Below are 21879 nucleotides of genomic sequence, written 5' to 3' on the forward strand. Positions count from 1 at the left end.
GGTGCCCTTGTGATGTCGAGGACAGGTCTGCCCGTGTGCCCGTGGGCTGCTCTTTCACCTCTGGGTTGTAGTCGCGGAGAGCAGAACCCGGCAGCTTCAGGGGCTGCCTGGGGCTGGGTGTTACCTGCTGTATGTGTTTGTGCTTAGGGGTGTGTGTGTGTGTGTGTGTCTGTGTGTCTGTGTGCCCACTTATGTCTCTCTCTGATATCTCTCTCTCTCGCTTCTCACTCTTTCCGTCGCTCTCTGTTACTATCTCTGTCCGTCTGTGCGTGCGTGTTTGCTGGGACACAGGTGCCCTTTGCGCCGGAGGGTGGTTTCTTGCACATCAGCCTTTCTTGTGGTCAGCCTCTCCCCGGGTCTCTTCCTGCGTCGTGTGGCCCGTTGGCAGTCGTTTTCCCGGCGGTTCCAGTTTGGGTTTGTGAAGGCCTGGGCAACGTGGGCACCTGCGTCGGACCCGCAGGGGTTTTCATCCCCTCCCTATCCTGAGCAGCCTCTTTGCTGGGATCCAGACGAACACACCCCAACCAAGGACGAAGGACTCAGAGGGGCTCATTGTCCACCAGCAGGAGGGTGCCCACAGATCTTGAAGAAGACGCTTCTCACTCCTCTTGCCCTTTGCCCTCCTTGAGAAATCTAGCCACGGCTCGACACAGAGACGGAGGAGGAAGCCGGCAACGGGATGGGGCAAACATCTCTGTGGGTCAGACGCTGGCCTTCGTGGCCAAGTCACCGGTTTGGCACTCCTCCGCGGATGGCCGTGGTGGTGGCATTGCGGCCAATCCTGCCTGGGCTCTGGCCTCTGCTCTGTCCTCCCTCTTGCTCCGCCTGCCCTATTTCTGAGAAGCCTAGGGGCTTCTTAGTCTGGCTCAATGTCTTCAACCCAGAACTCTTCCCAGTACATCCGGGAGAAAGTTCCTGGGGGTCGGTGTCATGATTGTTTCCCTCTCCAAACCTCTTTCAGCATGATTGGGCAGGTGTGGTGATCCTGGAGCTATGGGCTTCCATAGCTGTCTGGGACGGGGAAGCTTTCTGAGTCTCCGTGACCCAAGTGATGGCTGCGTGGCCGGTCCAGGAAGAGCGGGAGGTAACCCGACCGTTCCTGACATTTGCCTTCTAGGAAAGGTGGTGTGGCATGCCACCTGCACTTCCTCTCTGATTCTTGAGGGCCATCGGGTTCCTCTGCTCCTGGGGAAGGAGGCTTCTAGCGCTGAATCTTCTGGCTGCCATGGATGTCAGGGAGCCAAAGGGACTGGGTTTTGCTGGGTGCAGGGGAGGTGGCGTCATGGGTACCTACCCCGTGGCGGGGTGGGGGTGGGAGTGGGGTGAAATTTGTGGAAACCTCTCGGCCCCTCTGGCAGGCATCCCTGAATGTGGCTTGGATTCGGACGCGGGCCCTGTCTCGCAGGTTTTCAGCTGCCCTTGGCTTTTCTTCAGCTTTGTGGCTGACGTCTCCCGTGGCCCACGGGCGCACGCCTGGACATCACTGTCCGTCTCGTCGTCGCCCCCTACGGCCTCAAAGACACACGCTGCCTGCATGTGCTCTTGGGGGACGACAGTGCCACATGTGGACACACTGGCTCCAGCTCGGACTCGCCTCTGTCTCTCTTTGCCCGTGTCGCCGGAAGCCGCGTCGGGATGCCGGAGCCCTCGGGCCTTGGAGATGAAGGCAGGCCCCTGCTCCTGCCAGGAAGGAGGGAGGCAGCGGGCTCATGGGTCGGTGCCTTTGCAGCCAACAGCACGCCTTGCGGCCCTGGGGATCTTCCTGTGCCCCGGCGAGACCCTTTCCGCCTCACTGCATTGGAACCCCATTCCCGATCACCCGCTGGGATCCATCATCGGACCCCAAGAGGAGTCCGCGCAGCCCAGCCGGCACCCCGAAGCTCCTCCTTCAGCGGGAACCGAAGCAGAAGAGCGATCAAGGAGGTCCTCACCACAGGACTCCTATGGGTCCGACCCTGGGTCTCCCGCAGGCCCCTCTGGCAGTCCTCTTCCCACCCGCCGCCTCGGGCTGCGCCTTCGCCGCCGCCGCCGCAACCTCCAGCACCGCCGCCCCAGGCCCCGCAGCCGCCGCGTCGCCGCCATTTTTTAAAGGGTCCGCAGCCTGACTCTGCGAAGTAAGGGCGGGTGGAGCGGGGGAGTCGGCCTCGCCAGCGCGCATGCGCAAGGCCCGAGCCGCCGCTTGGGTCACAGTGAAAGCCACCGTTGCCCGGGGATGGGTCCCTGACACTTGGGGAAGTAGGAGCCCTGTGTGATCGTGCGTCTGAGTCTGGGCTGAGACCAGTCCTGGCCAGGGCAGTTACCAGGACGGTCTCCGGAGGCCGGGATTCGCGGAGGGTCCAGCAGCAGGAAGAAACCCCAGGAGGAAGAAACCTCAGACAGATCGCCGGCGAGGCAGCGCGGGATCCCAGCCTCAGGCGTGCGCGGACGGTGTGCGGGTGAGTCTCCCCAAAAGTGGAGCCCTTGTGATGACGAGCACAGGTCCGCCTGCGTGCCCGTGGGCTGCTCTCTCACCGGTGGCTCTCAGTCGCGGAGAGCAGAACCCGGCAGCTTCAGGGGCTGCCTGCGGGTGGGTGTTCCCTGCTGTACGTGTGTGTTCGTCATGGGTGTGTGTGTGTGTGTGTTGGGGGGGGTGCGTCTGTGTGTGTGCGCGCGCAGTGCCTGTCTGTGTGTCGACTTCTGTCTCTCTCTCACGTCTCTCTCTCTCTCTCTCTCTCTCTCTCTCCCTCTCCCTCTCTCCCTTCTCGCTCTTTCCGTGGCCCTCTCTTTCTGTCTCTGTCCGTCTGTGTGTGCGTGCGCCTCGGGACACATGTGCCCTGTGCGCCGGAGGGTGGGTTTCTTGCACGTCGGCCTTTCTTCTGGTCAGCCTCTCCCCGCGTCTCTGCCTGGGTCGTGTGGCCGGTTGGCAGTCGTCGTCCCGGCGGTTCCAGTTTGGGGGTCTGTGAAGGCCTGGGCAACGTGGGCATCGGCGTCGGACCCGCAGGGGTTTTCATCCCCTCCCCATCCGGAGCAGCCTCTTTGCTAGGCTGGATCCAGACGAGCGCTCCCCAACCAAGGACAACGGCCTCCCAGGCGCTCATCGTCCACCCGCAGGAGGGTGCCCGCAGAGCTTCAAGAAGGTGGTTGTCACGCCTGTCGCCCTCTGCCCTCATCGAGAAATGTAGCCACAGCTCGACGCAGGGACGGAGAAGGAAGCCGGCAAGGGGATGGGGCAAGCATGTCTGTCTCTCAAAGGCTGGCCTTCCTGGCTGAGTCACCCGTTTGACACTCCTCCCCGGATGCCGGTGGTGGTGGCATGGCCCCCCCGTATCCTGCCTGGGCTCTGGCCTCTGCTCTGACCTCCCTCTTGCTGTGTCTGCCCCGTCTCTGAGAAGCCTGGCGGCTTCTTAGTGTGGCTCAGTGTCTTCCACAAAGAAGACTTCCCCGTCCATCAGGGAGAAACCTCGTGGCGGTCCGCGTCATGCTTGTTTCCCTCTCCACACCTCTTTCTGGATGATTGGGCAGCTGTGGTGATCCTGGAGCTCTGGGCTTCCATACCTGTGTGGGACAGGGAAGCTCTCTCGGTCTCCATGGCCCAAGTGATGGCTGCACGCTCGGTCCAGGAAGAGGCGGAGGCAAGCCCACCGCTCCTGACATTGGCCTTCTAGGAAAGGCGGTGTTGCATCCCACCTGCACTTCCTCTCTGATTCTTGAGAGCCAACCGCTTCCTCCGCTCCTGGGGAAAGTGCCTTCTAGCACCGAATGTTTTGGCTGCCACGGATGTCAGGGAGCCAACGGGACTGGGTTTTGGCTGGGTGCAGGGGAGGTTGCGTCAGGGGTACCTAGCCGGCGGCGGGCTGGGGGTGGGGTGTACTTTGTCCAAACCTCTCGGCTCCTCTGGCGGGCCTCCCTGAACGTGGCGTGGACTCGCGCACAGGCCCTGTCTCGCAGGTTTTCAGGTGCGCTTGGCTTTTCCTCCGCTTTGTGGGGCAGGTCTCCAGTGGCCCCCCGGGCGCACGCCTGGACATCACTGTCCGTCTCGTCGTCGCCCCCTACGGCCTCAAAGACACACGCTGCCTGCATGTGCTCTTGGGGGACGACAGTGCCACATGTGGACACACTGGCTCCAGCTCGGACTCGCCTCTGTCTCTCTTTGCCCGTGTCGCCGGAAGCCGCCTCGGGTTGCCGGAGCCCTCGGGCCTTGGAGATGAAGGCAGGCCCCTGCTCCTGCCAGGAAGGAGGGAGGCAGTGGGCTCATGGGTCGGTGCCTTTGCAGCCGACAGCACGCCTTGCGGCCCTGGGGATCTTCCTGTGCCCCGGCGAGACCCTTTCCGCCTCACTGCATTGGAACCCCATTCCCGATCACCCGCTGGGATCCATCATCGGACCCCAAGAGGAGTCCGCGCAGCCCAGCCGGCACCCCGAAGCTCCTCCTTCAGCGGGAACCGAAGCAGAAGAGCGTTCAAGGAGGTCCTCACCACAGGACTCCTATGGGTCCGACCCTGGGTCTCCCGCAGGCCCCTCTGGCAGTCCTCTTCCCACCCGCCGCCTCGGGCTGCGCCTTCGCCGCCGCCGCCGCAACCTCCAGCACCGCCGCCCCAGGCCCCGCAGCCGCCGCGTCGCCGCCATTTTTTAAAGGGTCCGCAGCCTGACTCTGCGGAGTAAGGGGGGGTGGAGCGGGGGAGTCGGCCTCGCCAGCGCGCATGCGCGAGGCCCGAGCCGCCGCTTGGGTCACAGTGAAAGCCACCGTTGCCCGGGGATGGGTCCCTGACACTTGGGGAAGTAGGAGCCCTGTGTGATCGTGCGTCTGAGTCTGGGCTGAGACCAGTCCTGGCCAGGGCAGTTACCAGGACGGTCTCCGGAGGCCGGGATTCGCGGAGGGTCCAGCAGCAGGAAGAAACCCCAGGAGGAAGAAACCTCAGACAGATCGCCGGCGAGGCAGCGCGGGATCCCAGCCTCAGGCGTGCGCGGACGGTGTGCGGGTGAGTCTCCCCAAAAGTGGAGCCCTTGTGATGACGAGCACAGGTCCGCCTGCGTGCCCGTGGGCGGCTCTCTCACCGCTGGCTCTCAGTCGCGGAGAGCAGAACCCGGCAGCTTCAGGGGCTGCCTGCGGGAGGGTGTTCCCTGCTGTACGTGTGTGTTCGTCATGGGTGTGTGTGTTTGTGTGTTGGGGGGGGTGCGTCTGTGTGTGTGCGCGCGCAGTGCCTGTCTGTGTGCGGACTTCTGTCTCTCTCTCAGGTCTCTCTCTCTCTCTCTCTCTCCCTTCTCGCTCTTTCCGTGGCCCTCTCTTTCTGTCTCTGTCCGTCTGTGTGTGCGTGCGCCTCGGGACACATGTGCCCTGTGCGCCGGAGGGTGGGTTTCTTGCACGTCGGCCTTTCTTCTGGTCAGCCTCTCCCCGCGTCTCTGCCTGGGTCGTGTGGCCGGTTGGCAGTCGTCGTCCCGGCGGTTCCAGTTTGGGGGTCTGTGAAGGCCTGGGCAACGTGGGCATCGGCGTCGGACCCGCAGGGGTTTTCATCCCCTCCCCATCCGGAGCAGCCTCTTTGCTAGGCTGGATCCAGACGAGCGCTCCCCAACCAAGGACAACGGCCTCCCAGGCGCTCATCGTCCACCCGCAGGAGGGTGCCCGCAGAGCTTCAAGAAGGTGGTTGTCACGCCTGTCGCCCTCTGCCCTCATCGAGAAATGTAGCCACAGCTCGACGCAGGGACGGAGAAGGAAGCCGGCAAGGGGATGGGGCAAGCATGTCTGTCTCTCAAAGGCTGGCCTTCCTGGCCGAGTCACCCGTTTGACACTCCTCCCCGGATGCCGGTGGTGGTGGCATGGCCCCCCCGTATCCTGCCTGGGCTCTGGCCTCTGCTCTGACCTCCCTCTTGCTGTGTCTGCCCCGTCTCTGAGAAGCCTGGCGGCTTCTTAGTGTGGCTCAGTGTCTTCCACAAAGAAGACTTCCCCGTCCATCAGGGAGAAACCTCGTGGCGGTCCGCGTCATGCTTGTTTCCCTCTCCACACCTCTTTCTGGATGATTGGGCAGCTGTGGTGATCCTGGAGCTCTGGGCTTCCATACCTGTGTGGGACAGGGAAGCTCTCTCGGTCTCCATGGCCCAAGTGATGGCTGCACGCTCGGTCCAGGAAGAGGCGGAGGCAAGCCCACCGCTCCTGACATTGGCCTTCTAGGAAAGGCGGTGTTGCATCCCACCTGCACTTCCTCTCTGATTCTTGAGGGCCAACCGCTTCCTCCGCTCCTGGGGAAAGTGCCTTCTAGCACCGAATCTTTTGGCTGCCACGGATGTCAGGGAGCCAACGGGACTGGGTTTTGGCTGGGTGCAGGGGAGGTTGCGTCAGGGGAACCTAGCCGGCGGCGGGCTGGGGGTGGGGTGTACTTTGTCCAAACCTCTCGGCTCCTCTGGCGGGCCTCCCTGAACGTGGCGTGGACTCGCGCACAGGCCCTGTCTCGCAGGTTTTCAGGTGCGCTTGGCTTTTCCTCCGCTTTGTGGGGCAGGTCTCCAGTGGCCCCCCGGGCGCACGCCTGGACATCACTGTCCGTCTCGTCGTCGCCCCCTACGGCCTCAAAGACACACGCTGCCTGCATGTGCTCTTGGGGGACGACAGTGCCACATGTGGACACACTGGCTCCAGCTCGGACTCGCCTCTGTCTCTCTTTGCCCGTGTCGCCGGAAGCCGCCTCGGGTTGCCGGAGCCCTCGGGCCTTGGAGATGAAGGCAGGCCCCTGCTCCTGCCAGGAAGGAGGGAGGCAGTGGGCTCATGGGTCGGTGCCTTTGCAGCCGACAGCACGCCTTGCGGCCCTGGGGATCTTCCTGTGCCCCGGCGAGACCCTTTCCGCCTCACTGCATTGGAACCCCATTCCCGATCACACGCTGGGATCCATCATCGGACCCCAAGAGGAGTCCGCGCAGCCCAGCCGGCACCCCGAAGCTCCTCCTTCAGTGGGAACCGAAGCAGAAGAGCGATCAAGGAGGTCCTCACCACAGGACTCATGGGTCCGACCATGGGTCTCCCGCAGGCCCCTCTGGCAGTCCTCTTCCCACCCGCCGCCTCGGGCTGCGCCTTCGCCGCCGCCGCCGCAACCTCCAGCACCGCCGCCCCAGGCCCCGCAGCCGCCGCGTCGCCGCCATTTTTTAAAGGGTCCGCAGCCTGACTCTGCGGAGTAAGGGGGGGTGGAGCGGGGGAGTCGGCCTCGCCAGCGCGCATGCGCGAGGCCCGAGCCGCCGCTTGGGTCACAGTGAAAGCCACCGTTGCCCGGGGATGGGTCCCTGACACTTGGGGAAGTAGGAGCCCTGTGTGATCGTGCGTCTGAGTCTGGGCTGAGACCAGTCCTGGCCAGGGCAGTTACCAGGACGGTCTCCGGAGGCCGGGATTCGCGGAGGGTCCAGCAGCAGGAAGAAACCCCAGGAGGAAGAAACCTCAGACAGATCGCCGGCGAGGCAGCGCGGGATCCCAGCCTCAGGCGTGCGCGGACGGTGTGCGGGTGAGTCTCCCCAAAAGTGGAGCCCTTGTGATGACGAGCACAGGTCCGCCTGCGTGCCCGTGGGCTGCTCTCTCACCGGTGGCTCTCAGTCGCGGAGAGCAGAACCCGGCAGCTTCAGGGGCTGCCTGCGGGAGGGTGTTCCCTGCTGTACGTGTGTGTTCGTCATGGGTGTGTGTGTGTGTGTGTTGGGGGGGGTGCGTCTGTGTGTGTGTCTGTGTGTGTGCGCGCGCAGTGCCTGTCTGTGTGCCGACTTCTGTCTCTCTCTCACGTCTCTCTCTCTCTCTCTCTCTCTCTCTGTCTCTCTCTCTCTCTCTCTCTCTCCCTTCTCGCTCTTTCCGTGGCCCTCTCTTTCTGTCTCTGTCCGTCTGTGTGTGCGTGCGCCTCGGGACACATGTGCCCTGTGCGCCGGAGGGTGGGTTTCTTGCACGTCGGCCTTTCTTCTGGTCAGCCTCTCCCCGCGTCTCTGCCTGGGTCGTGTGGCCGGTTGGCAGTCGTCGTCCCGGCGGTTCCAGTTTGGGGGTCTGTGAAGGCCTGGGCAACGTGGGCATCGGCGTCGGACCCGCAGGGGTTTTCATCCCCTCCCCATCCGGAGCAGCCTCTTTGCTAGGCTGGATCCAGACGAGCGCTCCCCAACCAAGGACAACGGCCTCCCAGGCGCTCATCGTCCACCCGCAGGAGGGTGCCCGCAGAGCTTCAAGAAGGTGGTTGTCACGCCTGTCGCCCTCTGCCCTCATCGAGAAATGTAGCCACAGCTCGACGCAGGGACGGAGAAGGAAGCCGGCAAGGGGATGGGGCAAGCATGTCTGTCTCTCAAAGGCTGGCCTTCCTGGCCGAGTCACCCGTTTGACACTCCTCCCCGGATGCCGGTGGTGGTGGCATGGCCCCCCCGTATCCTGCCTGGGCTCTGGCCTCTGCTCTCACCTCCCTCTTGCTGTGTCTGCCCCGTCTCTGAGAAGCCTGGCGGCTTCTTAGTGTGGCTCAGTGTCTTCCACAAAGAAGACTTCCCCGTCCATCAGGGAGAAACCTCGTGGCGGTCCGCGTCATGATTGTTTCCCTCTCCACACCTCTTTCTGGATGATTGGGCAGCTGTGGTGATCCTGGAGCTCTGGGCTTCCATACCTGTGTGGGACAGGGAAGCTCTCTCGGTCTCCATGGCCCAAGTGATGGCTGCACGCTCGGTCCAGGAAGAGGCGGAGGCAAGCCCACCGCTCCTGACATTGGCCTTCTAGGAAAGGCGGTGTTGCATCCCACCTGCACTTCCTCTCTGATTCTTGAGGGCCAACCGCTTCCTCCGCTCCTGGGGAAAGTGCCTTCTAGCACCGAATGTTTTGGCTGCCACGGATGTCAGGGAGCCAACGGGACTGGGTTTTGGCTGGGTGCAGGGGAGGTTGCGTCAGGGGTACCTAGCCGGCGGCGGGCTGGGGGTGGGGTGTACTTTGTCCAAACCTCTCGGCTCCTCTGGCGGGCCTCCCTGAACGTGGCGTGGACTCGCGCACAGGCCCTGTCTCGCAGGTTTTCAGGTGCGCTTGGCTTTTCCTCCGCTTTGTGGGGCAGGTCTCCAGTGGCCCCCCGGGCGCACGCCTGGACATCACTGTCCGTCTCGTCGTCGCCCCCTACGGCCTCAAAGACACACGCTGCCTGCATGTGCTCTTGGGGGACGACAGTGCCACATGTGGACACACTGGCTCCAGCTCGGACTCGCCTCTGTCTCTCTTTGCCCGTGTCGCCGGAAGCCGCCTCGGGTTGCCGGAGCCCTCGGGCCTTGGAGATGAAGGCAGGCCCCTGCTCCTGCCAGGAAGGAGGGAGGCAGTGGGCTCATGGGTCGGTGCCTTTGCAGCCGACAGCACGCCTTGCGGCCCTGGGGATCTTCCTGTGCCCCGGCGAGACCCTTTCCGCCTCACTGCATTGGAACCCCATTCCCGATCACCCGCTGGGATCCATCATCGGACCCCAAGAGGAGTCCGCGCAGCCCAGCCGGCACCCCGAAGCTCCTCCTTCAGTGGGAACCGAAGCAGAAGAGCGATCAAGGAGGTCCTCACCACAGGACTCCTATGGGTCCGACCCTGGGTCTCCCGCAGGCCCCTCTGGCAGTCCTCTTCCCACCCGCCGCCTCGGGCTGCGCCTTCGCCGCCGCCGCCGCAACCTCCAGCACCGCCGCCCCAGGCCCCGCAGCCGCCGCGTCGCCGCCATTTTTTAAAGGGTCCGCAGCCTGACTCTGCGGAGTAAGGGGGGGTGGAGCGGGGGAGTCGGCCTCGCCAGCGCGCATGCGCGAGGCCCGAGCCGCCGCTTGGGTCACAGTGAAAGCCACCGTTGCCCGGGGATGGGTCCCTGACACTTGGGGAAGTAGGAGCCCTGTGTGATCGTGCGTCTGAGTCTGGGCTGAGACCAGTCCTGGCCAGGGCAGTTACCAGGACGGTCTCCGGAGGCCGGGATTCGCGGAGGGTCCAGCAGCAGGAAGAAACCCCAGGAGGAAGAAACCTCAGACAGATCGCCGGCGAGGCAGCGCGGGATCCCAGCCTCAGGCGTGCGCGGACGGTGTGCGGGTGAGTCTCCCCAAAAGTGGAGCCCTTGTGATGACGAGCACAGGTCCGCCTGCGTGCCCGTGGGCTGCTCTCTCACCGGTGGCTCTCAGTCGCGGAGAGCAGAACCCGGCAGCTTCAGGGGCTGCCTGCGGGAGGGTGTTCCCTGCTGTACGTGTGTGTTCGTCATGGGTGTGTGTGTGTGTGTGTTGGGGGGGGTGCGTCTGTGTGTGTGTCTGTGTGTGTGCGCGCGCAGTGCCTGTCTGTGTGCCGACTTCTGTCTCTCTCTCACGTCTCTCTCTCTCTCTCTCTCTCTCTCTCTCTCTCTCTCTCTCTCCCTCTCCCTCTCCCTCTCTCCCTTCTCGCTCTTTCCGTGGCCCTCTCTTTCTGTCTCTGTCCGTCTGTGTGTGCGTGCGCCTCGGGACACATGTGCCCTGTGCGCCGGAGGGTGGGTTTCTTGCACGTCGGCCTTTCTTCTGGTCAGCCTCTCCCCGCGTCTCTGTCTGGGTCGTGTGGCCGGTTGGCAGTCGTCGTCCCGGCGGTTCCAGTTTGGGGGTCTGTGAAGGCCTGGGCAACGTGGGCATCGGCGTCGGACCCGCAGGGGTTTTCATCCCCTCCCCATCCGGAGCAGCCTCTTTGCTAGGCTGGATCCAGACGAGCGCTCCCCAACCAAGGACAACGGCCTCCCAGGCGCTCATCGTCCACCCGCAGGAGGGTGCCCGCAGAGCTTCAAGAAGGTGGTTGTCACGCCTGTCGCCCTCTGCCCTCATCGAGAAATGTAGCCACAGCTCGACGCAGGGACGGAGAAGGAAGCCGGCAAGGGGATGGGGCAAGCATGTCTGTCTCTCAAAGGCTGGCCTTCCTGGCCGAGTCACCCGTTTGACACTCCTCCCCGGATGCCGGTGGTGGTGGCATGGCCCCCCCGTATCCTGCCTGGGCTCTGGCCTCTGCTCTGACCTCCCTCTTGCTGTGTCTGCCCCGTCTCTGAGAAGCCTGGCGGCTTCTTAGTGTGGCTCAGTGTCTTCCACAAAGAAGACTTCCCCGTCCATCAGGGAGAAACCTCGTGGCGGTCCGCGTCATGCTTGTTTCCCTCTCCACACCTCTTTCTGGATGATTGGGCAGCTGTGGTGATCCTGGAGCTCTGGGCTTCCATACCTGTGTGGGACAGGGAAGCTCTCTCGGTCTCCATGGCCCAAGTGATGGCTGCACGCTCGGTCCAGGAAGAGGCGGAGGCAAGCCCACCGCTCCTGACATTGGCCTTCTAGGAAAGGCGGTGTTGCATCCCACCTGCACTTCCTCTCTGATTCTTGAGGGCCAACCGCTTCCTCCGCTCCTGGGGAAAGTGCCTTCTAGCACCGAATCTTTTGGCTGCCACGGATGTCAGGGAGCCAACGGGACTGGGTTTTGGCTGGGTGCAGGGGAGGTTGCGTCAGGGGTACCTAGCCGGCGGCGGGCTGGGGGTGGGGTGTACTTTGTCCAAACCTCTCGGCTCCTCTGGCGGGCCTCCCTGAACGTGGCGTGGACTCGCGCACAGGCCCTGTCTCGCAGGTTTTCAGGTGCGCTTGGCTTTTCCTCCGCTTTGTGGGGCAGGTCTCCAGTGGCCCCCCGGGCGCACGCCTGGACATCACTGTCCGTCTCGTCGTCGCCCCCTACGGCCTCAAAGACACACGCTGCCTGCATGTGCTCTTGGGGGACGACAGTGCCACATGTGGACACGCTGGCTCCAGCTCGGACTCGCCTCTGTCTCTCTTTGCCCGTGTCGCCGGAAGCCGCCTCGGGTTGCCGGAGCCCTCGGGCCTTGGAGATGAAGGCAGGCCCCTGCTCCTGCCAGGAAGGAGGGAGGCAGTGGGCTCATGGGTCGGTGCCTTTGCAGCCGACAGCACGCCTTGCGGCCCTGGGGATCTTCCTGTGCCCCGGCGAGACCCTTTCCGCCTCACTGCATTGGAACCCCATTCCCGATCACCCGCTGGGATCCATCATCGGACCCCAAGAGGAGTCCGCGCAGCCCAGCCGGCACCCCGAAGCTCCTCCTTCAGTGGGAACCGAAGCAGAAGAGCGATCAAGGAGGTCCTCACCACAGGACTCATGGGTCCGACCATGGGTCTCCCGCAGGCCCCTCTGGCAGTCCTCTCCCCACCCGCCGCCTCGGGCTGCGCCTTCGCCGCCGCCGCCGCAACCTCCAGCACCGCCGCCCCAGGCCCCGCAGCCGCCGCGTCGCCGCCATTTTTTAAAGGGTCCGCAGCCTGACTCTGCGGAGTAAGGGGGGGTGGAGCGGGGGAGTCGGCCTCGCCAGCGCGCATGCGCGAGGCCCGAGCCGCCGCTTGGGTCACAGTGAAAGCCACCGTTGCCCGGGGATGGGTCCCTGACACTTGGGGAAGTAGGAGCCCTGTGTGATCGTACGTCTGAGTCTGGGCTGAGACCAGTCCTGGCCAGGGCAGTTACCAGGACGGTCTCCGGAGGCCGGGATTCGCGGAGGGTCCAGCAGCAGGAAGAAACCCCAGGAGGAAGAAACCTCAGACAGATCGCCGGCGAGGCAGCGCGGGATCCCAGCCTCAGGCGTGCGCGGACGGTGTGCGGGTGAGTCTCCCCAAAAGTGGAGCCCTTGTGATGACGAGCACAGGTCCGCCTGCGTGCCCGTGGGCTGCTCTCTCACCGGTGGCTCTCAGTCGCGGAGAGCAGAACCCGGCAGCTTCAGGGGCTGCCTGCGGGAGGGTGTTCCCTGCTGTACGTGTGTGTTCGTCATGGGTGTGTGTGTGTGTGTGTTGGGGGGGTGCGTCTGTGTGTGTGTCTGTGTGTGTGCGCGCGCAGTGCCTGTCTGTGTGCCGACTTCTGTCTCTCTCTCACGTCTCTCTCTCTCTCTCTCTCTCTCTCTCTCTCTCTCTCTCTGTCTCCCTTCTCGCTCTTTCCGTGGCCCTCTCTTTCTGTCTCTGTCCGTCTGTGTGTGCGTGCGCCTCGGGACACATGTGCCCTGTGCGCCGGAGGGTGGGTTTCTTGCACGTCGGCCTTTCTTCTGGTCAGCCTCTCCCCGCGTCTCTGCCTGGGTCGTGTGGCCGGTTGGCAGTCGTCGTCCCGGCGGTTCCAGTTTGGGGGTCTGTGAAGGCCTGGGCAACGTGGGCATCGGCGTCGGACCCGCAGGGGTTTTCATCCCCTCCCCATCCGGAGCAGCCTCTTTGCTAGGCTGGATCCAGACGAGCGCTCCCCAACCAAGGACAACGGCCTCCCAGGCGCTCATCGTCCACCCGCAGGAGGGTGCCCGCAGAGCTTCAAGAAGGTGGTTGTCACGCCTGTCGCCCTCTGCCCTCATCGAGAAATGTAGCCACAGCTCGACGCAGGGACGGAGAAGGAAGCCGGCAAGGGGATGGGGCAAGCATGTCTGTCTCTCAAAGGCTGGCCTTCCTGGCCGAGTCACCCGTTTGACACTCCTCCCCGGATGCCGGTGGTGGTGGCATGGCCCCCCCGTATCCTGCCTGGGCTCTGGCCTCTGCTCTGACCTCCCTCTTGCTGTGTCTGCCCCGCCTCTGAGAAGCCTGGCGGCTTCTTAGTGTGGCTCAGTGTCTTCCACAAAGAAGACTTCCCCGTCCATCAGGGAGAAACCTCGTGGCGGTCCGCGTCATGCTTGTTTCCCTCTCCACACCTCTTTCTGGATGATTGGGCAGCTGTGGTGATCCTGGAGCTCTGGGCTTCCATACCTGTGTGGGACAGGGAAGCTCTCTCGGTCTCCATGGCCCAAGTGATGGCTGCACGCTCGGTCCAGGAAGAGGCGGAGGCAAGCCCACCGCTCCTGACATTGGCCTTCTAGGAAAGGCGGTGTTGCATCCCACCTGCACTTCCTCTCTGATTCTTGAGGGCCAACCGCTTCCTCCGCTCCTGGGGAAAGTGCCTTCTAGCACCGAATCTTTTGGCTGCCACGGATGTCAGGGAGCCAACGGGACTGGGTTTTGGCTGGGTGCAGGGGAGGTTGCGTCAGGGGTACCTAGCCGGCGGCGGGCTGGGGGTGGGGTGTACTTTGTCCAAACCTCTCGGCTCCTCTGGCGGGCCTCCCTGAACGTGGCGTGGACTCGCGCACAGGCCCTGTCTCGCAGGTTTTCAGGTGCGCTTGGCTTTTCCTCCGCTTTGTGGGGCAGGTCTCCAGTGGCCCCCCGGGCGCACGCCTGGACATCACTGTCCGTCTCGTCGTCGCCCCCTACGGCCTCAAAGACACACGCTGCCTGCATGTGCTCTTGGGGGACGACAGTGCCACATGTGGACACACTGGCTCCAGCTCGGACTCGCCTCTGTCTCTCTTTGCCCGTGTCGCCGGAAGCCGCCTCGGGTTGCCGGAGCCCTCGGGCCTTGGAGATGAAGGCAGGCCCCTGCTCCTGCCAGGAAGGAGGGAGGCAGTGGGCTCATGGGTCGGTGCCTTTGCAGCCGACAGCACGCCTTGCGGCCCTGGGGATCTTCCTGTGCCCCGGCGAGACCCTTTCCGCCTCACTGCATTGGAACCCCATTCCCGATCACCCGCTGGGATCCATCATCGGACCCCAAGAGGAGTCCGCGCAGCCCAGCCGGCACCCCGAAGCTCCTCCTTCAGTGGGAACCGAAGCAGAAGAGCGATCAAGGAGGTCCTCACCACAGGACTCATGGGTCCGACCATGGGTCTCCCGCAGGCCCCTCTGGCAGTCCTCTTCCCACCCGCCGCCTCGGGCTGCGCCTTCGCCGCCGCCGCCGCAACCTCCAGCACCGCCGCCCCAGGCCCCGCAGCCGCCGCGTCGCCGCCATTTTTTAAAGGGTCCGCAGCCTGACTCTGCGGAGTAAGGGGGGGTGGAGCGGGGGAGTCGGCCTCGCCAGCGCGCATGCGCGAGGCCCGAGCCGCCGCTTGGGTCACAGTGAAAGCCACCGTTGCCCGGGGATGGGTCCCTGACACTTGGGGAAGTAGGAGCCCTGTGTGATCGTGCGTCTGAGTCTGGGCTGAGACCAGTCCTGGCCAGGGCAGTTACCAGGACGGTCTCCGGAGGCCGGGATTCGCGGAGGGTCCAGCAGCAGGAAGAAACCCCAGGAGGAAGAAACCTCAGACAGATCGCCGGCGAGGCAGCGCGGGATCCCAGCCTCAGGCGTGCGCGGACGGTGTGCGGGTGAGTCTCCCCAAAAGTGGAGCCCTTGTGATGACGAGCACAGGTCCGCCTGCGTGCCCGTGGGCTGCTCTCTCACCGGTGGCTCTCAGTCGCGGAGAGCAGAACCCGGCAGCTTCAGGGGCTGCCTGCGGGAGGGTGTTCCCTGCTGTACGTGTGTGTTCGTCATGGGTGTGTGTGTGTGTGTGTTGGGGGGGGTGCGTCTGTGTGTGTGTCTGTGTGTGTGCGCGCGCAGTGCCTGTCTGTGTGCCGACTTCTGTCTCTCTCTCACGTCTCTCTCTCTCTCTCTCTCTCTCTCTCTCTCTCCCTCTCCCTCTCTCCCTTCTCGCTCTTTCCGTGGCCCTCTCTTTCTGTCTCTGTCCGTCTGTGTGTGCGTGCGCCTCGGGACACATGTGCCCTGTGCGCCGGAGGGTGGGTTTCTTGCACGTCGGCCTTTCTTCTGGTCAGCCTCTCCCCGCGTCTCTGTCTGGGTCGTGTGGCCGGTTGGCAGTCGTCGTCCCGGCGGTTCCAGTTTGGGGGTCTGTGAAGGCCTGGGCAACGTGGGCATCGGCGTCGGACCCGCAGGGGTTTTCATCCCCTCCCCATCCGGAGCAGCCTCTTTGCTAGGCTGGATCCAGACGAGCGCTCCCCAACCAAGGACAACGGCCTCCCAGGCGCTCATCGTCCACCCGCAGGAGGGTGCCCGCAGAGCTTCAAGAAGGTGGTTGTCACGCCTGTCGCCCTCTGCCCTCATCGAGAAATGTAGCCACAGCTCGACGCAGGGACGGAGAAGGAAGCCGGCAAGGGGATGGGGCAAGCATGTCTGTCTCTCAAAGGCTGGCCTTCCTGGCCGAGTCACCCGTTTGACACTCCTCCCCGGATGCCGGTGGTGGTGGCATGGCCCCCCCGTATCCTGCCTGGGCTCTGGCCTCTGCTCTGACCTCCCTCTTGCTGTGTCTGCCCCGTCTCTGAGAAGCCTGGCGGCTTCTTAGTGTGGCTCAGTGTCTTCCACAAAGAAGACTTCCCCGTCCATCAGGGAGAAACCTCGTGGCGGTCCGCGTCATGATTGTTTCCCTCTCCACACCTCTTTCTGGATGATTGGGCAGCTGTGGTGATCCTGGAGCTCTGGGCTTCCATACCTGTGTGGGACAGGGAAGCTCTCTCGGTCTCCATGGCCCAAGTGATGGCTGCACGCTCGGTCCAGGAAGAGGCGGAGGCAAGCCCACCGCTCCTGACATTGGCCTTCTAGGAAAGGCGGTGTTGCATCCCACCTGCACTTCCTCTCTGATTCTTGAGGGCCAACCGCTTCCTCCGCTCCTGGGGAAAGTGCCTTCTAGCACCGAATCTTTTGGCTGCCACGGATGTCAGGGAGCCAACGGGACTGGGTTTTGGCTGGGTGCAGGGGAGGTTGCGTCAGGGGTACCTAGCCGGCGGCGGGCTGGGGGTGGGGTGTACTTTGTCCAAACCTCTCGGCTCCTCTGGCGGGCCTCCCTGAACGTGGCGTGGACTCGCGCACAGGCCCTGTCTCGCAGGTTTTCAGGTGCGCTTGGCTTTTCCTCCGCTTTGTGGGGCAGGTCTCCAGTGGCCCCCCGGGCGCACGCCTGGACATCACTGTCCGTCTCGTCGTCGCCCCCTACGGCCTCAAAGACACACGCTGCCTGCATGTGCTCTTGGGGGACGACAGTGCCACATGTGGACACGCTGGCTCCAGCTCGGACTCGCCTCTGTCTCTCTTTGCCCGTGTCGCCGGAAGCCGCCTCGGGTTGCCGGAGCCCTCGGGCCTTGGAGATGAAGGCAGGCCCCTGCTCCTGCCAGGAAGGAGGGAGGCAGTGGGCTCATGGGTCGGTGCCTTTGCAGCCGACAGCACGCCTTGCGGCCCTGGGGATCTTCCTGTGCCCCGGCGAGACCCTTTCCGCCTCACTGCATTGGAACCCCATTCCCGATCACCCGCTGGGATCCATCATCGGACCCCAAGAGGAGTCCGCGCAGCCCAGCCGGCACCCCGAAGCTCCTCCTTCAGTGGGAACCGAAGCAGAAGAGCGATCAAGGAGGTCCTCACCACAGGACTCCTATGGGTCCGACCCTGGGTCTCCCGCAGGCCCCTCTGGCAGTCCTCTTCCCACCCGCCGCCTCGGGCTGCGCCTTCGCCGCCGCCGCCGCAACCTCCAGCACCGCCGCCCCAGGCCCCGCAGCCGCCGCGTCGCCGCCATTTTTTAAAGGGTCCGCAGCCTGACTCTGCGGAGTAAGGGGGGGTGGAGCGGGGGAGTCGGCCTCGCCAGCGCGCATGCGCGAGGCCCGAGCCGCCGCTTGGGTCACAGTGAAAGCCACCGTTGCCCGGGGATGGGTCCCTGACACTTGGGGAAGTAGGAGCCCTGTGTGATCGTGCGTCTGAGTCTGGGCTGAGACCAGTCCTGGCCAGGGCAGTTACCAGGACGGTCTCCGGAGGCCGGGATTCGCGGAGGGTCCAGCAGCAGGAAGAAACCCCAGGAGGAAGAAACCTCAGACAGATCGCCGGCGAGGCAGCGCGGGATCCCAGCCTCAGGCGTGCGCGGACGGTGTGCGGGTGAGTCTCCCCAAAAGTGGAGCCCTTGTGATGACGAGCACAGGTCCGCCTGCGTGCCCGTGGGCTGCTCTCTCACCGGTGGCTCTCAGTCGCGGAGAGCAGAACCCGGCAGCTTCAGGGGCTGCCTGCGGGAGGGTGTTCCCTGCTGTACGTGTGTGTTCGTCATGGGTGTGTGTGTGTGTGTGTTGGGGGGGGTGCGTCTGTGTGTGTGTCTGTGTGTGTGCGCGCGCAGTGCCTGTCTGTGTGCCGACTTCTGTCTCTCTCTCACGTCTCTCTCTCTCTCTCTCTCTCTCTCTCTCTCTCTCTGTCTCCCTTCTCGCTCTTTCCGTGGCCCTCTCTTTCTGTCTCTGTCCGTCTGTGTGTGCGTGCGCCTCGGGACACATGTGCCCTGTGCGCCGGAGGGTGGGTTTCTTGCACGTCGGCCTTTCTTCTGGTCAGCCTCTCCCCGCGTCTCTGCCTGGGTCGTGTGGCCGGTTGGCAGTCGTCGTCCCGGCGGTTCCAGTTTGGGGGTCTGTGAAGGCCTGGGCAACGTGGGCATCGGCGTCGGACCCGCAGGGGTTTTCATCCCCTCCCCATCCGGAGCAGCCTCTTTGCTAGGCTGGATCCAGACGAGCGCTCCCCAACCAAGGACAACGGCCTCCCAGGCGCTCATCGTCCACCCGCAGGAGGGTGCCCGCAGAGCTTCAAGAAGGTGGTTGTCACGCCTGTCGCCCTCTGCCCTCATCGAGAAATGTAGCCACAGCTCGACGCAGGGACGGAGAAGGAAGCCGGCAAGGGGATGGGGCAAGCATGTCTGTCTCTCAAAGGCTGGCCTTCCTGGCCGAGTCACCCGTTTGACACTCCTCCCCGGATGCCGGTGGTGGTGGCATGGCCCCCCCGTATCCTGCCTGGGCTCTGGCCTCTGCTCTGACCTCCCTCTTGCTGTGTCTGCCCCGCCTCTGAGAAGCCTGGCGGCTTCTTAGTGTGGCTCAGTGTCTTCCACAAAGAAGACTTCCCCGTCCATCAGGGAGAAACCTCGTGGCGGTCCGCGTCATGATTGTTTCCCTCTCCACACCTCTTTCTGGATGATTGGGCAGCTGTGGTGATCCTGGAGCTCTGGGCTTCCATACCTGTGTGGGACAGGGAAGCTCTCTCGGTCTCCATGGCCCAAGTGATGGCTGCACGCTCGGTCCAGGAAGAGGCGGAGGCAAGCCCACCGCTCCTGACATTGGCCTTCTAGGAAAGGCGGTGTTGCATCCCACCTGCACTTCCTCTCTGATTCTTGAGGGCCAACCGCTTCCTCCGCTCCTGGGGAAAGTGCCTTCTAGCACCGAATCTTTTGGCTGCCACGGATGTCAGGGAGCCAACGGGACTGGGTTTTGGCTGGGTGCAGGGGAGGTTGCGTCAGGGGTACCTAGCCGGCGGCGGGCTGGGGGTGGGGTGTACTTTGTCCAAACCTCTCGGCTCCTCTGGCGGGCCTCCCTGAACGTGGCGTGGACTCGCGCACAGGCCCTGTCTCGCAGGTTTTCAGGTGCGCTTGGCTTTTCCTCCGCTTTGTGGGGCAGGTCTCCAGTGGCCCCCCGGGCGCACGCCTGGACATCACTGTCCGTCTCGTCGTCGCCCCCTACGGCCTCAAAGACACACGCTGCCTGCATGTGCTCTTGGGGGACGACAGTGCCACATGTGGACACACTGGCTCCAGCTCGGACTCGCCTCTGTCTCTCTTTGCCCGTGTCGCCGGAAGCCGCCTCGGGTTGCCGGAGCCCTCGGGCCTTGGAGATGAAGGCAGGCCCCTGCTCCTGCCAGGAAGGAGGGAGGCAGTGGGCTCATGGGTCGGTGCCTTTGCAGCCGACAGCACGCCTTGCGGCCCTGGGGATCTTCCTGTGCCCCGGCGAGACCCTTTCCGCCTCACTGCATTGGAACCCCATTCCCGATCACCCGCTGGGATCCATCATCGGACCCCAAGAGGAGTCCGCGCAGCCCAGCCGGCACCCCGAAGCTCCTCCTTCAGTGGGAACCGAAGCAGAAGAGCGATCAAGGAGGTCCTCACCACAGGACTCATGGGTCCGACCCTGGGTCTCCCGCAGGCCCCTCTGGCAGTCCTCTCCCCACCCGCCGCCTCGGGCTGCGCCTTCGCCGCCGCCGCCGCAACCTCCAGCACCGCCGCCCCAGGCCCCGCAGCCGCCGCGTCGCCGCCATTTTTTAAAGGGTCCGCAGCCTGACTCTGCGGAGTAAGGGGGGGTGGAGCGGGGGAGTCGGCCTCGCCAGCGCGCATGCGCGAGGCCCGAGCCGCCGCTTGGGTCACAGTGAAAGCCACCGTTGCCCGGGGATGGGTCCCTGACACTTGGGGAAGTAGGAGCCCTGTGTGATCGTACGTCTGAGTCTGGGCTGAGACCAGTCCTGGCCAGGGCAGTTACCAGGACGGTCTCCGGAGGCCGGGATTCGCGGAGGGTCCAGCAGCAGGAAGAAACCCCAGGAGGAAGAAACCTCAGACAGATCGCCGGCGAGGCAGCGCGGGATCCCAGCCTCAGGCGTGCGCGGACGGTGTGCGGGTGAGTCTCCCCAAAAGTGGAGCCCTTGTGATGACGAGCACAGGTCCGCCTGCGTGCCCGTGGGCTGCTCTCTCACCGGTGGCTCTCAGTCGCGGAGAGCAGAACCCGGCAGCTTCAGGGGCTGCCTGCGGGAGGGTGTTCCCTGCTGTACGTGTGTGTTCGTCATGGGTGTGTGTGTGTGTGTGTTGGGGGGGTGCGTCTGTGTGTGTGTCTGTGTGTGTGCGCGCGCAGTGCCTGTCTGTGTGCCGACTTCTGTCTCTCTCTCACGTCTCTCTCTCTCTCTCTCTCTCTCTCTCTCTCTCTCTCTCTCTGTCTCCCTTCTCGCTCTTTCCGTGGCCCTCTCTTTCTGTCTCTGTCCGTCTGTGTGTGCGTGCGCCTCGGGACACATGTGCCCTGTGCGCCGGAGGGTGGGTTTCTTGCACGTCGGCCTTTCTTCTGGTCAGCCTCTCCCCGCGTCTCTGCCTGGGTCGTGTGGCCGGTTGGCAGTCGTCGTCCCGGCGGTTCCAGTTTGGGGGTCTGTGAAGGCCTGGGCAACGTGGGCATCGGCGTCGGACCCGCAGGGGTTTTCATCCCCTCCCCATCCGGAGCAGCCTCTTTGCTAGGCTGGATCCAGACGAGCGCTCCCCAACCAAGGACAACGGCCTCCCAGGCGCTCATCGTCCACCCGCAGGAGGGTGCCCGCAGAGCTTCAAGAAGGTGGTTGTCACGCCTGTCGCCCTCTGCCCTCATCGAGAAATGTAGCCACAGCTCGACGCAGGGACGGAGAAGGAAGCCGGCAAGGGGATGGGGCAAGCATGTCTGTCTCTCAAAGGCTGGCCTTCCTGGCCGAGTCACCCGTTTGACACTCCTCCCCGGATGCCGGTGGTGGTGGCATGGCCCCCCCGTATCCTGCCTGGGCTCTGGCCTCTGCTCTGACCTCCCTCTTGCTGTGTCTGCCCCGTCTCTGAGAAGCCTGGCGGCTTCTTAGTGTGGCTCAGTGTCTTCCACAAAGAAGACTTCCCCGTCCATCAGGGAGAAACCTCGTGGCGGTCCGCGTCATGATTGTTTCCCTCTCCACACCTCTTTCTGGATGATTGGGCAGCTGTGGTGATCCTGGAGCTCTGGGCTTCCATACCTGTGTGGGACAGGGAAGCTCTCTCGGTCTCCATGGCCCAAGTGATGGCTGCACGCTCGGTCCAGGAAGAGGCGGAGGCAAGCCCACCGCTCCTGACATTGGCCTTCTAGGAAAGGCGGTGTTGCATCCCACCTGCACTTCCTCTCTGATTCTTGAGGGCCAACCGCTTCCTCCGCTCCTGGGGAAAGTGCCTTCTAGCACCGAATCTTTTGGCTGCCACGGATGTCAGGGAGCCAACGGGACTGGGTTTTGGCTGGGTGCAGGGGAGGTTGCGTCAGGGGTACCTAGCCGGCGGCGGGCTGGGGGTGGGGTGTACTTTGTCCAAACCTCTCGGCTCCTCTGGCGGGCCTCCCTGAACGTGGCGTGGACTCGCGCACAGGCCCTGTCTCGCAGGTTTTCAGGTGCGCTTGGCTTTTCCTCCGCTTTGTGGGGCAGGTCTCCAGTGGCCCCCCGGGCGCACGCCTGGACATCACTGTCCGTCTCGTCGTCGCCCCCTACGGCCTCAAAGACACACGCTGCCTGCATGTGCTCTTGGGGGACGACAGTGCCACATGTGGACACACTGGCTCCAGCTCGGACTCGCCTCTGTCTCTCTTTGCCCGTGTCGC

The 21879-nt window shown here is 64.2% G+C and overlaps 1 long non-coding RNA gene across 3 annotated transcripts in view, besides 4 other annotated features; it reads left to right on the plus strand.

The window, feature by feature from the left end:
- Window positions 1742-2319: an enhancer, noted in NCBI's record as "H3K27ac-H3K4me1 hESC enhancer chr19:36759575-36760152 (GRCh37/hg19 assembly coordinates)". NCBI's record gives its function as "activates a minimal SCP1, AML or CMV promoter by ChIP-STARR-seq in naive H9 embryonic stem cells {active_cell/tissue: H9 hESC(naive)}" and the evidence as "EXISTENCE:reporter gene assay evidence [ECO:0000049][PMID:30033119]".
- The window catches only part of CYKILR (cyclin dependent kinase inhibitor 2A regulated lncRNA), a gene marked incomplete at its 3' end in the record, with an annotated part of 52208 nt that continues 32481 nt past the window's right edge, over window positions 2153-21879 (plus strand). For 2 of the 3 annotated variants that reach the window (NR_199170.1, NR_199169.1), the window contains exon 1: window positions 2153-2435. This is a non-coding gene — a long non-coding RNA (cyclin dependent kinase inhibitor 2A regulated lncRNA). 3 annotated transcript variants of the gene reach the window in all.
- Window positions 4798-5389: an enhancer, noted in NCBI's record as "H3K27ac-H3K4me1 hESC enhancer chr19:36762631-36763222 (GRCh37/hg19 assembly coordinates)". NCBI's record gives its function as "activates a minimal SCP1, AML or CMV promoter by ChIP-STARR-seq in naive H9 embryonic stem cells {active_cell/tissue: H9 hESC(naive)}" and the evidence as "EXISTENCE:reporter gene assay evidence [ECO:0000049][PMID:30033119]".
- Window positions 12373-12977: an enhancer, noted in NCBI's record as "H3K27ac-H3K4me1 hESC enhancer chr19:36770206-36770810 (GRCh37/hg19 assembly coordinates)". NCBI's record gives its function as "activates a minimal SCP1, AML or CMV promoter by ChIP-STARR-seq in naive H9 embryonic stem cells {active_cell/tissue: H9 hESC(naive)}" and the evidence as "EXISTENCE:reporter gene assay evidence [ECO:0000049][PMID:30033119]".
- Window positions 17458-18080: an enhancer, noted in NCBI's record as "H3K27ac-H3K4me1 hESC enhancer chr19:36775291-36775913 (GRCh37/hg19 assembly coordinates)". NCBI's record gives its function as "activates a minimal SCP1, AML or CMV promoter by ChIP-STARR-seq in naive H9 embryonic stem cells {active_cell/tissue: H9 hESC(naive)}" and the evidence as "EXISTENCE:reporter gene assay evidence [ECO:0000049][PMID:30033119]".

This window comes from Homo sapiens, chromosome 19 (genome assembly GCF_000001405.40).
Source record: "Homo sapiens chromosome 19, GRCh38.p14 Primary Assembly".
NCBI lineage: Eukaryota > Metazoa > Chordata > Mammalia > Primates > Hominidae > Homo > Homo sapiens.